Source organism: Homo sapiens, chromosome X (assembly GCF_000001405.40).
Source record: "Homo sapiens chromosome X, GRCh38.p14 Primary Assembly".
NCBI classification, from domain to species: Eukaryota; Metazoa; Chordata; class Mammalia; order Primates; family Hominidae; genus Homo; species Homo sapiens.
This window is the reverse complement of record NC_000023.11, coordinates 74,580,533-74,594,234: the sequence shown is the minus strand read 5'-3', so window position 1 is coordinate 74,594,234 and position 13,702 is coordinate 74,580,533. Positions and strand designations below refer to the sequence as shown.

The 13,702-nt window shown below is 38.9% G+C and overlaps 1 protein-coding gene and 1 pseudogene across 2 annotated transcripts in view; both read left to right on the top strand.

The window, feature by feature from the left end:
- The window catches only part of RLIM (ring finger protein, LIM domain interacting), a 31,649-nt gene extending 20,390 nt beyond the window's left edge, over positions 1–11,259 (top strand). For both annotated transcript variants that reach the window (NM_016120.4, NM_183353.3), the window contains one exon: positions 1,174–11,259. In NM_016120.4, coding sequence (NP_057204.2) covers positions 1,174–2,795 — 1,622 coding nt within the window. In that variant the 3' untranslated portion in view covers positions 2,796–11,259. The remainder of the gene's footprint in view (positions 1–1,173) is intronic.
- PABPC1P3 (poly(A) binding protein cytoplasmic 1 pseudogene 3) lies at positions 10,693–11,569 on the top strand (annotated as a pseudogene).

Here is a 13,702-nt window from a genome sequence, read left to right as displayed (position 1 = left end):
CCAAAGATTATCCAGATTTGGCACAAATTAATTTGGTGCTAAGTAACTGCTCATAAAAAGAAAACTGACATTTTCTTGATACTTAGAATGTCAGCATTTTTTTTCTACCTCACCTTTGAGATGTTTATGTTAATTGGAACACAGTGAGAAATGGCCCATTTAAATGTGATTTTGTTTGTTTGTTTGTTTTTCACCTCCATTGAAATTTATTCCTACTTAATTCCTTCTTTATAAACATGTGACTTCTTCACCAGCAAAAAGAAATGTCTAAACCCAGTGGTTCCTAATGAGATATAATTTTGCCCCATGTGGGACATTAGCAACGTCTGGAGACATTTGTGTAGAGGGCAGGAATGCTGCCAAACATCCTGACATGCCATAATGCACAACACAGCCCCCATGACACAGAATTAACTGGCTTAAAATGTCAGTAGTACCACTGTTGAGAAATCCTGCTCTAACCTCAGGTCTGGTGTTTCCCTCCCAGTGTCAAGTAGGGATTTTGATTGTGCAACCTGAGAGGCTACGATAATAATTTGGTTCTTGAACATGCCATTATATGTGCTATGCAAGGTTCAGACTACTTATTTGATCTGATCTTTAACTTCATGTCCATTGAAAACCTTGGTAACATTAAGAAATATTCAAATGCTTTTAAACCTATAAATCTTGTTTGTATTTTTCTTATGGCTACAATAAATAGTCCTGTATTTTAAAACAACCTCAAATGTTATCAAAGGCACAGTATGTAGACTAATAAAAATTTGACAGAAATGTAGCTTGAACTAAATGTGACTGTTCGTTAAACACTGTTTCCTTACCTAGTTTGATTACATTAGTATTTTGGCAGAGGACTGAAAAAACGTCTTCTGACCATCCCACAGTGGTATGCTTGGCTCTGTATATGATAAAATACTGAAAATAGACTTCCTCCAGATTCCCTTTAAAAATCAAATAATTCTCTAAATTTCTCTAGTGTAGCTTGCTCTTTTCAAATGGAATTAGAATTTTCTTACCTTATAAATTTATGCAGTATAGTTTGTAAAAATCTGTAATTATGAAATGTGTTCCGAATTTTTAAGTTATTTAATGCAGAGTTTCAGAGCACTTATATGATTGTCCTCATTTTAGTAGTTCCTTTTTCTCCCTCTCCCCCTCCTTTGTTTTGAACAGGAGGAGACTCTTCAGATGATGTGTCTAATGGTGACTCTATAATAGACTGGCTTAACTCTGTCAGACAAACTGGAAATACAACAAGAAGTGGGCAAAGAGGAAACCAATCTTGGAGAGCAGTGAGTCGGACTAATCCAAACAGTGGTGATTTCAGATTCAGTTTAGAGATAAATGTTAACCGTAATAATGGGAGCCAAAATTCAGAGAATGAAAATGAGCCATCTGCAAGACGTTCTAGTGGAGAAAATGTGGAAAACAACAGCCAAAGGCAAGTGGAAAACCCACGATCTGAATCAACATCTGCAAGGCCATCTAGATCAGAACGAAATTCAACTGAAGCGTTAACAGAGGTCCCACCTACCAGAGGTCAGAGGAGGGCAAGAAGCAGGAGCCCAGACCATCGGAGAACCAGAGCAAGAGCTGAAAGAAGTAGGTCACCTCTGCATCCAATGAGTGAAATTCCACGAAGATCTCATCATAGTATCTCATCTCAGACTTTTGAACATCCTTTGGTAAATGAGACGGAGGGAAGTTCTAGAACCCGGCACCATGTGACATTGAGGCAGCAAATATCTGGGCCTGAGTTGCTAAGTAGAGGTCTTTTTGCAGCTTCTGGAACAAGAAATGCTTCTCAAGGAGCAGGTTCTTCAGACACAGCTGCCAGTGGTGAATCTACAGGATCAGGACAGAGACCTCCAACCATAGTCCTTGATCTTCAAGTAAGAAGAGTTCGTCCTGGAGAATATCGGCAGAGAGATAGCATAGCCAGCAGAACTCGGTCTAGGTCTCAGACACCAAACAACACTGTCACCTATGAAAGTGAACGAGGAGGTTTTAGGCGTACATTTTCACGTTCTGAGCGGGCAGGTGTGAGAACCTATGTCAGTACCATCAGAATTCCCATTCGTAGAATCTTAAATACTGGTTTAAGTGAGACTACATCTGTTGCAATTCAGACCATGTTAAGGCAGATAATGACAGGTTTTGGTGAGTTAAGCTATTTTATGTACAGTGATAGCGACTCAGAGCCTACTGGCTCAGTCTCAAATCGAAATATGGAAAGGGCAGAGTCACGGAGTGGAAGAGGAGGTTCTGGTGGTGGTAGTAGTTCTGGTTCCAGTTCGAGTTCCAGTTCCAGTTCGAGTTCCAGTTCCAGTTCAAGTTCCAGTTCCAGTCCTAGTTCCAGTTCCGGTGGTGAAAGTTCAGAAACTAGCTCAGATTTATTTGAAGGCAGTAATGAAGGAAGCTCATCATCAGGCTCATCAGGTGCCAGGCGAGAGGGTCGACATAGGGCCCCAGTCACATTTGATGAAAGTGGCTCTTTGCCCTTCCTTAGCCTGGCTCAGTTTTTCCTCTTAAATGAGGATGATGATGACCAACCTAGAGGACTCACCAAAGAACAGATTGACAACTTGGCAATGAGAAGTTTTGGTGAAAATGATGCATTAAAAACCTGTAGTGTTTGCATTACAGAATATACAGAAGGCAACAAACTTCGTAAACTACCTTGTTCCCATGAGTACCATGTCCACTGCATCGATCGCTGGTTATCTGAGAATTCTACCTGTCCTATTTGTCGCAGAGCAGTCTTAGCTTCTGGTAACAGAGAAAGTGTTGTGTAATTAAGATCTGAACTCTCAGCTATGTAGCTGATATAGTGATGGGCAAACAGGAATCACTTGCTTTTATGTCCACTTTTTGAGTGGTACTTAAATGTAAAGTAACAACCTGAATTGAGTCATTGCTTTCTGAAGGAATCATTGTCCTTTCTCCAGTTTTTGTTCCAGAATAAAAGGAAATATTTTAAAAGCCACGTTATAGGACCTAAAAATCTGATTTCCGTACCAGTTAAATTGGTAGCATCACTGTTACTGATAATTTATCATATACACTTGTCAATTTTTCCTTTGTTATCTTAAAAGATCTGCCTTAGCAATGGCTCCTTTTTCATGTTGATCTTTAAATTTTCCCACACCATAAGAGAGGAGCAAAGGAAATTACCAGTTTAGACTAAGTTACAGTATGTGTTTCATAAGTGATTAAAGCTATATCATTCCCAGTTATTAGTTAACACAAATTCAGCCACATTCTGAGTATTGTTTGTTCACCTTTCAGACTTGGTGATACTGGACATGTCAGTGTAAATAACACTAAGGTTAGGATCTTCTAAGTGTATAACTGTCTCCTAAGCCCATCACTGTGGCACACTGTAGAGTGAGCTTATAGTTTAATTGAGATATTTATCTTGTGGAAATATTAAAAAGCCTATGCTTGTGTAAGTGAAAAAAAATCACATTCATTTGTTTAAAAATGTAAAGCTATTTTGTAGAGGCTCAGTACTTTTCCAATGCACTGTTGTATGAATGCATTAAAAATTGTAAAGTACCATGCTTAGAACTGAGAAAACTGCTTTTTGTGAGCCAACATAGTAACAAACACACCAAACAAAGTACAAAGCTGCTTTTGTAAGTGTGTAGATGTCAAGAGCAGAACATATCTATAATATTTAATGTGTGAACAGCTACTGTGACATGCAAAGGAAAGGACAGTGCAGAATTAAACCGTGTTGAAGACCAGTGGAAATTGTATAATTTAACTTGGATTTAGGCAGGAAGTGAAATATGGGAGGAGTAAAGAAAACTGAAGAATTTAAAGTTTTCCTGAAGACAGTAATAATGCAGACACAAACTGGTTTCATATGGTGAGAGCAGCCACAGCAGCAGCTTGACCTGGTATTCTACCTGAGTAGATGAAGCAGAAGATCAGCAAGTTTGGCAGAGTTTTGGTTTAAGAAAAACAAACCACTACTACCTAGCACAAGTTAAATTTACAAGTCTGCTCCTCAAAAATGAAAAAATGGAGGAAAGAGACTATAAAACCACTTTTAGCATATGAATTGCAGTTGGTACACATGTGTGTGTTAATAGGAAAGTCTCGAATTTGTGTTGTTTTTGAGATTTGTCATTTAAGGTACCAGTGCACACTTGATCATATTTCATTACTATCTCTAACACAGTCCTAACATCTCAAATTTAAAGACCAGTTGAAGATTAAGGGATTTTTATCCTTTGTTGAAAGTCATGTTGGGTTATTTGAAATTCAAATTTTAATTGTGCTGCCCATATATGAAAATGAGACTGCTGACTCGCTATCTATGGACATGCACTTTATGTTGGTTTCTTAGTAGTAAGAGTAACTTCATGATAACCCCAGTCTTCTTGCCTAATTTCTTTTTTGAGACTAGCTGGGGTTAGGATTAGAATGACTATGGAGCAGATATTTGTTCTTCTGGGAAAAGCTTTAACAGGCCAAAATAGGGATTGAACTTGTCCTTGGCCTTTATCAAAGCAAGCTAGCTACCCAGACGTAGTCAAATACTCTACAAAATAAACAAGTCTGCTTTAGGAATTGTCTGGGTACCTTCACTGTTACCAACTTAGCTGTAAAGATTATTTCAAAGCTCACTCTTCCATGATTTCTTCTGGCTTTCAATCCTATCTAAGTATCAAGGAAATTAACTTGTAAATATGGTAGTTGTTTACTAAGGATATGTACTGCTCTTGCAAGGAAATAATGTCCAAACAAAGCTTCACTTATTTTTTTTAATATAAGCAGATTTCACTGTTTATGGCGCTTATGTAATACATTTTATCTTTTTAAAAATTTGTCCGTGTAAAAGTCAGGATTCCTTTATATTTGTGAGCCTCCTTTTCTCCTTTCCTAAGGATGTAATCTACAGTTTTCAGATCTGCAGGGTAGTCTTGATTGGCTAAAAACAAATCAATTTTCTTCTTGGCATAAAGTGTTTCATTATTATAGGGGTGTTCATTTTAAATAGTTTAAAAACAATTGCAGCACATTCTAAGCATAAGAGAAAGTTATTGACAACAGGTACCTTCCTAATCTCCCAAGACGTACTTACTCATTTGTGAAGTATTAAAGTAAGAGGTAACTCAAGCAGAATGCTGGCTATGAATGTAGATATTGAAGCTATTCATAAACACTGGAAATAGAATTTTAAGCTTTTAGCCTTCAGTGGAATGCACATATTGGACATGTGCATGTGAACACCTTTTTCAGTAGCACTCACGGATTTCCATTCGATTGTATAGAATGAATACAAGTGTTTTAGTGGAATTTGCTACTTAATTTTTAATCTTGCGATGTCCGTGATTATTACATGCTTACTAGTGTTGTGGACATTGAAGACAAGGTCATTCGTAGGTGTCAGATTACAATGGAGAACAAAAATCGTTTTCCCCCCACCCACATCCAAACACCATTCTCGAGGGAGCATTTCTTGCAAAACACCTTACATTTCATTTTCTATCTTTGCACTTTTTCTTAAGTACAGAAAAGTTGTCTTTAAGACCTAGTTTGAACTTCATGCAGTAAGAGGAACAAGGATAAACAATGTTGGGAGTTCACATTGTTCAGAGCATAAGGAAAAGTACCAAAACCCAAATTTTCTTGAATATTTCAGATGTTTTTAAAAACTCACTTCTAGTCTGAAACATTTGAATTGTTTTAACTCTGAGCAGCTGACAAAGTTGAGGTTTTTTTGTTTTGTTTTGTTTTGTTTTGTTTTTTTGAGACAGAGTCTTACTTGGTTGCCCAGGATGAAGTGCAATGGAGCGATCTCGGCTCACTGCAACCTCTGCCTCCTGGGTTCAAGCAATTCTCCTGTCTCAGCCTCTCGAGTAGCTGGGATTACAGGCGCATGCCACCACACCTGGCTAGTTTTTATATTTTTAGTAGAGATGGGGACTTCACCGTGTTGGCCAGGCTGGTCTTGAACTCCTGACCTCAAGTGATGTGCCTGCCTCGGCCTCCGAAAATGCTGGGATTACAGGCGTGAGCCACCATGTCCAGCCAAAGTTGAGGTTTATTAGTACTATTAGAAACAAAATTGAGCAAGTTAAGTTAAAAGTTTGCTGACTTTGTATCAACACTATAGAAGATGAGCCACCTTGTTAATTTGGAATATTTGCTCTGAAAAGAACATGTTAGTTACACCTTAATGGTGTTAATGGAGGTGGGGATTGAGAAAAGTGTTCACATTAGTGTTGGAATGTAGGTAATTGTACAGTTTATAAGACCTTTAGCACCAGGAAATAAAATATGTGTGTGTACACACACAGTTTTTAAAAACGATTGGAATTCATCCAAACCTTAAGATTAGGAAACTGATTGGCTGTAAGTGTTGCCTCAAGTAATGTGTCCCCCGCCCCATAACATGTCTTTTCTGTGCCAAGTATCCTCTCCTAGTGTCAGTGTCTCAAATTATATTTATGAAGGGTTATCACATAATATGCTTTGTATTTAACTACCTGCTTCCCAGGCGTCCATGACATGAAATGGGTGAAGCATCAGCCATGACTTTCGGTCAGTTCCCAAAATACCCAAATGATAGGGAGGTAAAGATTGCAAAATTCCTCTTAAAAGGCCATTTTTACAGCTTGCTAAAATACAGTGGCACCTTATGGTTGTTAATATTTTTTCTTTTAAAGATGGAGAATGTTTTTATTCTTCCCCTTTTCTCCTTTGTTCTTTTGCGAACAAAAAAAATTATAATCTGCCTTATTTGATTTTTTTTTTAAGTTTTACCTTACAGGCTTCCCTGTCACATGTTTTACCATATTAAGTACATAGAAGCCATGTTTGCAGGGCACTTTTATTCTCCTAGTCTTATAAGACTATGCTAATTGTTACTTTCTGAAGTATTCTGTACCTTAGTATGCAAGATTGTTAAGGCACATGTTAAAGTGTCAGGTGTGTTTTTTTCCCTTTAATTCTTCAGTATGTTTATATTCAATAACAGTATTGTAATTCATTGAGTTAACTAGTAAATTGTGTGCTTTTGAAAAAACATGAAAAATGTAAATTGACAGCATACTTCATTTGGAAAAAAGTAAAAGATCCGAGGAACTAGTATGTCACTTATTTATTTTTATTTTATTTTATTTTTTACTTTTTGAGACAGGGTCTTGCTCTGTCACCCAGGCTGGAGTGCAGTGGCATGGTCACAGCTCACTGCAGCCTTGACTTCCTGGGCTCAGGTGATTCTCCCACCTCAGCCTTCCAAGTAGCTGGGACTACAGGCATGCACCACATTGCCTGGCTAATTTTTTGTGGAGATGGGGTTTCGCCATGTTGTCCAGGCTGTTCTTGAACTCCTGGGCTCAGGCAATTTGCCTGCCTCATTCTCCCAAAGTGCTGGGATTATAGGCGTGAGCCACTGCGCCCAGCCTTACTTATTTTTAAATCAGATTTTTTAATCAACTAAAACAGCTATGAGTTAAGTACCTGCCCTGCAAAAATTTTTAGAAAAAGTTTTAGGATTATGAAATTAAGAATTATTTTCCTTAACTGGAACAGTTCTAAAATTTATCTGATACTTCTCTAACAAGTGAGTGATCTCATGTAACCCCAGTTTGTATCTTAAAGGCTGCAGCATAGAATTGAGCTGTATAACAGTGTTAGAACTGTCAAGTGATAATCACAGAACAGTTTGTATCGGTTTTATAATTCTCATGTCTTGATCAGATCTGAAGGAAATAGGCATACCCTCCAACATTCTAAAAATTATTTATTTTTATTAGGATTTGTTTATTAAAGTTCCACGAGCTGCTTTATGGTCAGTTGGGCTGAGTAGTAGATATCTTAAAGACATGCAGTGAAAGTGAACCCTGTCATATCATGGTGCCTCTTTCAAGGTTCCTCTGTAAGTTCCTCATCTTGCAGAATTATTTCAATACCAAGGTATGGTTGAACCAGCTGTCCAGCCTTAACTCTATTTAGTGCCCCATTACTAATGTTCTTTTAACTGGTTTGTATGTGTTTTAACTGTCCAGTGTTTGGATTTTACCTCTTGATAGCTCCATTTGTCCCTGGTGCTGCTTTTAAGGATGTAGGGCCATGTGATCAGGTATCAAGTTGAGTAGGTACGCAGTTGGCCTGGTGATGTATCTGTGCCTGTTTTATCTTCTCCCAGGAAGAGCTGCTTTGGTATAGTTGTTTACTTGGATTCATACAAAGAACAGGGCAGCAATCTTGGAAAGCTTTCTGAAGCTTATAAGAACCTGAAGGGGTTTGGAGGGGGAACAGTAACAAAGGCTGCCTTTATGTCTTTGGTCACAAAGCACATAGATGTATGTTCTGTAAAGACTAAAGTGATTGTTATACCAGGGCTTCCTGACCTTCGGGAGAGACTCAAAAAAGCAGAGAGGAGCACAAAGTGAAGTTAATTTGGTTGGCTTGCTTTATCTGGTTTCTCATTTTCTTTCAATTTAAACCTGAACATAACACCCTTCTCCGATACCTATCCAGCAGACTCCTGGTTGGGAAGCCCTGTATTAAATTTTGAGAATGTACACAGTTTTCTTTTGTACAGTGCTTTACAACTGCTAAAAGTTAACTTGTTTAAAGCAAAACAAGACCTTGAAAGGTCAATCATATTAAAGCTGGTTTGATTATTAATAGTTATCTTTTAGGAAGAAGCTTTTTTCCCTATGTAAGATGTCATACTGCAGATTTAAAATATAGACTATCAATAAAATGCATGAAGTGATCATTTGTGCTTGATCATCTCTCCTTGGGTTTTTCTTTAAAAAGGGGAATCTGCTATAAAGGTTCTGTTGCTTCAAACCAATGTCAAATAGACTTGATTTTTAGAGTCATGGAATTACAGTGCAACCTTGATTTTTATTCCCCTCACTGCTATGAGTGTGGGCAGGTACTGGTTTATATGTTATAACTTCCGTTTTATCTGTGTTGTGTAGTTGAATGGCTTAATCGTTGAGTGGTAAAATAAAAGATTATATTCCAATACAAGAATCCTGGAAAGATTTATGTGAATGACATTTTAAGTAGGCGCATCTTTGCTGTTTCTTGTATTCTCGCCATTGCTCTGACCACTCCCTTGCTTGCCCTGTATATATACAAAAACTTGTAGGTGTGCACGTGTGCTTGTACTTCTGTCTTCCATTTCTATCTTAATCTCTTAAACATATTGCTTAAGCCACTAAGATGTCCTTGTTTCAAGTAAATCGTCACATTGTGACACCTGGTGTATTGTATTATAGTTTCATTTCCTCTGGTGCCTGCAGAGCTATCTGTCATTGGCATCATAACTCGGTTTCTCAGGATAGTTTTGATGTAGTCAGCTCTTCAACTCATGACCTTCCCAAGGTTTTAAGTTTAGTGTCATTCATGATTTTATTATTTGAAACTCAATACCACCATCAAAAAGTTAGTGCTCTAGACAATGAAGCCAAAGCACAGGCATCTTAGGTCAGTGAAAAGGATCCAGACATAAATTAGCCAGGTGTGGTGGTACACAGCTGTGGTCCCAGCTACTTGGGAGGCTGAGGTGGTAGAATCACTTGAGCCCGGGAGGTCAAGGCTGCAGTGAGCCATGATCATGCTGATGCACTCCAGCCTGGGTTACAGAGCAAAACCTTGTCTCAAAAAAACCCCCAGATACCTAGAAGAAAGGATTCGATAAATCTGGGTGGATTATAAACTGAACTCTTAATGGTCATTTTAAAAAATAAGAAAGCAAGGGTCCAGTTTCTTTGAGGTCTTTGAATTTAGACAAGATTTAACTATAAGGCCTTGCATGGATTACTAACTATAATTAAATTAGCTAAACTTTTCTGGTTGCTGTCAGGCATTGTATTAAGTATTCTATATAAATTATTTAATCATCACAGTGACTGTGAGGTGAAAGTATACCACCCATTTTATAGGTAATGCAGCTGAGATACAGATGTTTGGTAATTTGCCCAGGTCACATAGTAAGTAGCAGATTATTTGCAATCATCTTTGATGCAGTCATCTTCCTTGTGCTCTTAATCCCACTACTATATGACTTCTAATTTGTTTCTTAGTATTTATCCCAAGCCCTAGACTAGATTGCTTATGAGGTGTGATTTCTTAGGAAAAACATCAGTTTTGGCTGGTTTGCCAAGAAAAAAAAAGGCCAAATTGGTTTTTGTTTATTTTTTTGTTTGTTTGAGATGGATTCTCGCCCTGTCGCCCAGGCTGGAGTGCAATGGTGCGATCTTGGCTCACTGCAACCTCTGCCTCTGGGTTCAAACGATTCTCCTGCCTCAGCCTCCCGAGTAGCTGGGATTACAGGCGCCCGCCACCACGCCCAGCTAATTTTTCTATTTTTAGTAGAGACAGGGTTTCACCATGTTGGCCAGGCTGGTCTTGAACCCCTGATCCCATGATCTGCCCGTCTCGGCCTCCCACAGTGGTGGTATTACAGGCGTGAGCCACCACGCCCGGCCGCAAATTGTTTTTTGTTTTTTTGTTTTTTGGAGGATTAATGGTAATATACTGTAAATTCAGTAAAGCACTGGGCATTACCAGATACACCTTAGCACTATGAATAACATGAACTATCATTTTAGCAGTTTAAGTGTACCTTGTAATCAGCCCTAGGGCAAACGGTATCAAGGTGTTTTATTTCCAGAAGTCTCAAAATAGACTGGAATAAAAATTTGGTGAATTCATCAACACAGACAATGGGTCCACGTCTTGCAGCTACAGCTGCTGCAGCTACTCCTGCTGTCCGCACCGTTCCACAGTATAAATATGCTGCGGGAGTTTGCAATCCTCAGCAACATCTTAATGCACAGCCACAAGTTACAGTGCAACAGCCTGCTATTCATGTACAAGGTCAGGAACCTTTGACTGTTTCCATGTTGGCATCTGCCCCTCAAGAGCAAAAGCAAATGTTGGGTGAATGGCTGTTTCCTCTTATTCAAGCCATGCACCCTACTCTTGCCGGTAAAATCACTGGCGTGTTGTTGGAGATTGATAATTCAGAACTTCTTCATATGCTCAAGTCTCCAGAGTCACTCCATTCTAAGGTTGATGAAGCTGTAGCTGTACTACAAGCCCACCAAGCTAAAGAGACTGCCCAGAAAGCAGTTAACAGTGCCACCGGTGTTCCAACTGTTTAAAATTGATCAGGGACCACGAAAAGAAACTTGTGCTTCACCAAAGAAAAATATCTAAACATCGAAAAACTTAAATATGGAAAAAAATATCAAAATATAAAAGAAGGAAACTGAACCGTATGTACCGAGCAAATGCCAGGTCTAGCAAACATAATGCTAGTCCTAGATTAATTGATTGAAAAACAAAAAACACAAAAAAAATAGTAAAATATAGAAACAAATTAGTGTTTTATAGACCCTGGGAAAAAGAATTTTCAGCAAAGTACAAAAATATAAAACATTCCTTTCTTTAATTTTGTAATTCTTTACTGTGGAATAGCTCAAAATGTCACTTCTGTTTTAAGTAACAGAATTAATAACTGAGCAAGGAAACGTAATTTGGATTATAAAATTCTTGCTTTAATAAAAATTCCTCTTTAACAGTGAAAACAAAAACAAAAATTGGGGAATTGTTAAATGGTCATCTCAGCCCCTTATTACGTGTGCTCTTGGCCCCAATTATGACAATTTGAAATATGAAATGACTAGAAAGATTCAAATTGCAGCTTTTTAAAAACTATGCCCTGCCGGGTGCAGTGGCTCACATCTGTAATCCCATCACTTTGGGAGGCCGAGGCAGGCAGACCACGAGGTCAAGAGATCGAGACCATCCTGGCCAGCATGGTGAAACCCCGCCTCTACTAAAAATACAAAAAGTAGCTGGATGTGGTGGCATGCGCCTGTAGTCCCAGCTACTCGGGAGGCTGAAGCAGGAAAATCGCTTGAACCTGGGAGGCGGAGGTTGCAGTGAGCCGAGATAGCGCCACTGCACTCCAGCCTGGTGACAGAGTGAGACTCCGTCTCAAACAAAAAATATATATATGTGTGTATATATATATATATGTATACGTGTGTGTGTATACACGTCTGTATATATACGTGTGTGTATATGTATATATATGCCAGCCAGCTTATTGGTATGCAAGAAAATGCACTTTAAGTTGCCTTGGGCAGCCATCAGCATTCCAAGAACTTTATTGCTGAGAAGATATTTGGAACTTGTTTAAATAGCTTTTAGAAACAACTTTATGAACCACTGCGAAAAGCAACCCTGTTTGATTTGTTCACACGCGGTAGGGTATGCCTGTAATCCCAGCTACTTGGGAGGCTGAGGCAGGAGAATCGCTTGAACCCAGGAGGCGGAGGTTGCAATGAGCTGAGATCATGCCACAGCACCCCAGCCTGGGAAACAGAGCAAGACTCTGTCTCAAAAACAAAAAATAGATAAAATAGTACCAAAACCTTAAGAAATGTACATACTGTAATTATCCATCTCCATTCAAATACGTTGTAACTGCTAGATCTAGTAGGTATTTGAGGAGTAAAAGTTCATGGGTGAATAAGGGCTCATCTGAATCTCATTTGTTTCCTCAGGAGATAAATGTGTATTCTGCTCCTACTATTAATACATCCTTGGCATTCTGCTGGTCTGTGGTTTCTCTTCCCTGTGTCTTAGGTAGGGTGGGGACCTGAAGTCTAAAATATCGCTGAGTTTCTCAGTGGACAGTGTTGGTGACTGTGGTGTACCTACTTTTTAAAATTCACAATTTGTCTTCTGTATGCACCAAATGCTCTAGAATAGCACTGTCCAGTAGAAATATAATGCATCACCACATATAATGTTAAATTTTCTAGCAGCCACATTACAAAAGGTAATGTGTAAAGATACTAATTTTAATAATGTTTTCATTTAACCCAGTAAATATTTAAACATGTAATCAATATAAAAATTTTTAGTGGGATATTTACATTTTTTTCATACTGAGTTTTCAAATTCTGGTGAGTATTTTACACCTATAATACATTTCAATTTGGACAAGGCACATTCCAAATGCTTAATAACCACAAGTGGCTAGTGACTACCATATTGAACAGTGCAGCTCTAGAACAATATGGAGGAATGTGATTAGGTAGGATGCAAATGGGGTTGACTTTTAAAAGTTCGCTTATGAATGTGCATAGGCACAACTTATCTGCTCAACTACACCACGCCAGAACTAAAGCCTCATTCTTTTAATTGTGCATCAAAGCTGTCCAAGCTTACAAAACTACCACCTTTCTCCTTCCCTTAAAAAAAATTATATTTTTTTGAGACAGAGTCTCACTCTTGCCCAGGCTGGCATGCAATGGTGTGATCTTGGCTCACTGCAACCTCCACCTCCTGGATTCAAGCAATCCTCCTGCTTCAGCCTCCCTAGTAGCTGGGACTACAGGCGTGTGCCACCACACTGGGCTAATTTTTGTATTTTTAGTAGAGACAGGGTGTCACCATGTTGGCCAGGCTGGACTCGGATTCCTGACTTCACGTAATCAACCCACCTTGGCTTCCTAAAGTTCTGGGATTACAGGCGTGAGCCACTGTGCCGGGTCCCCTTTTGCGGTTAAAAGAATACACTCCCAGCCTGGCGTGGTGGATCATGCCTGTAATCCCAGTACTTTGGGAGGCCGAGGCGGGTAGATCGTCTGAGGTCAGGAGTTTGAGACCAGCCTGGCCAGCATGGTGAAAATTCGTCTCTACT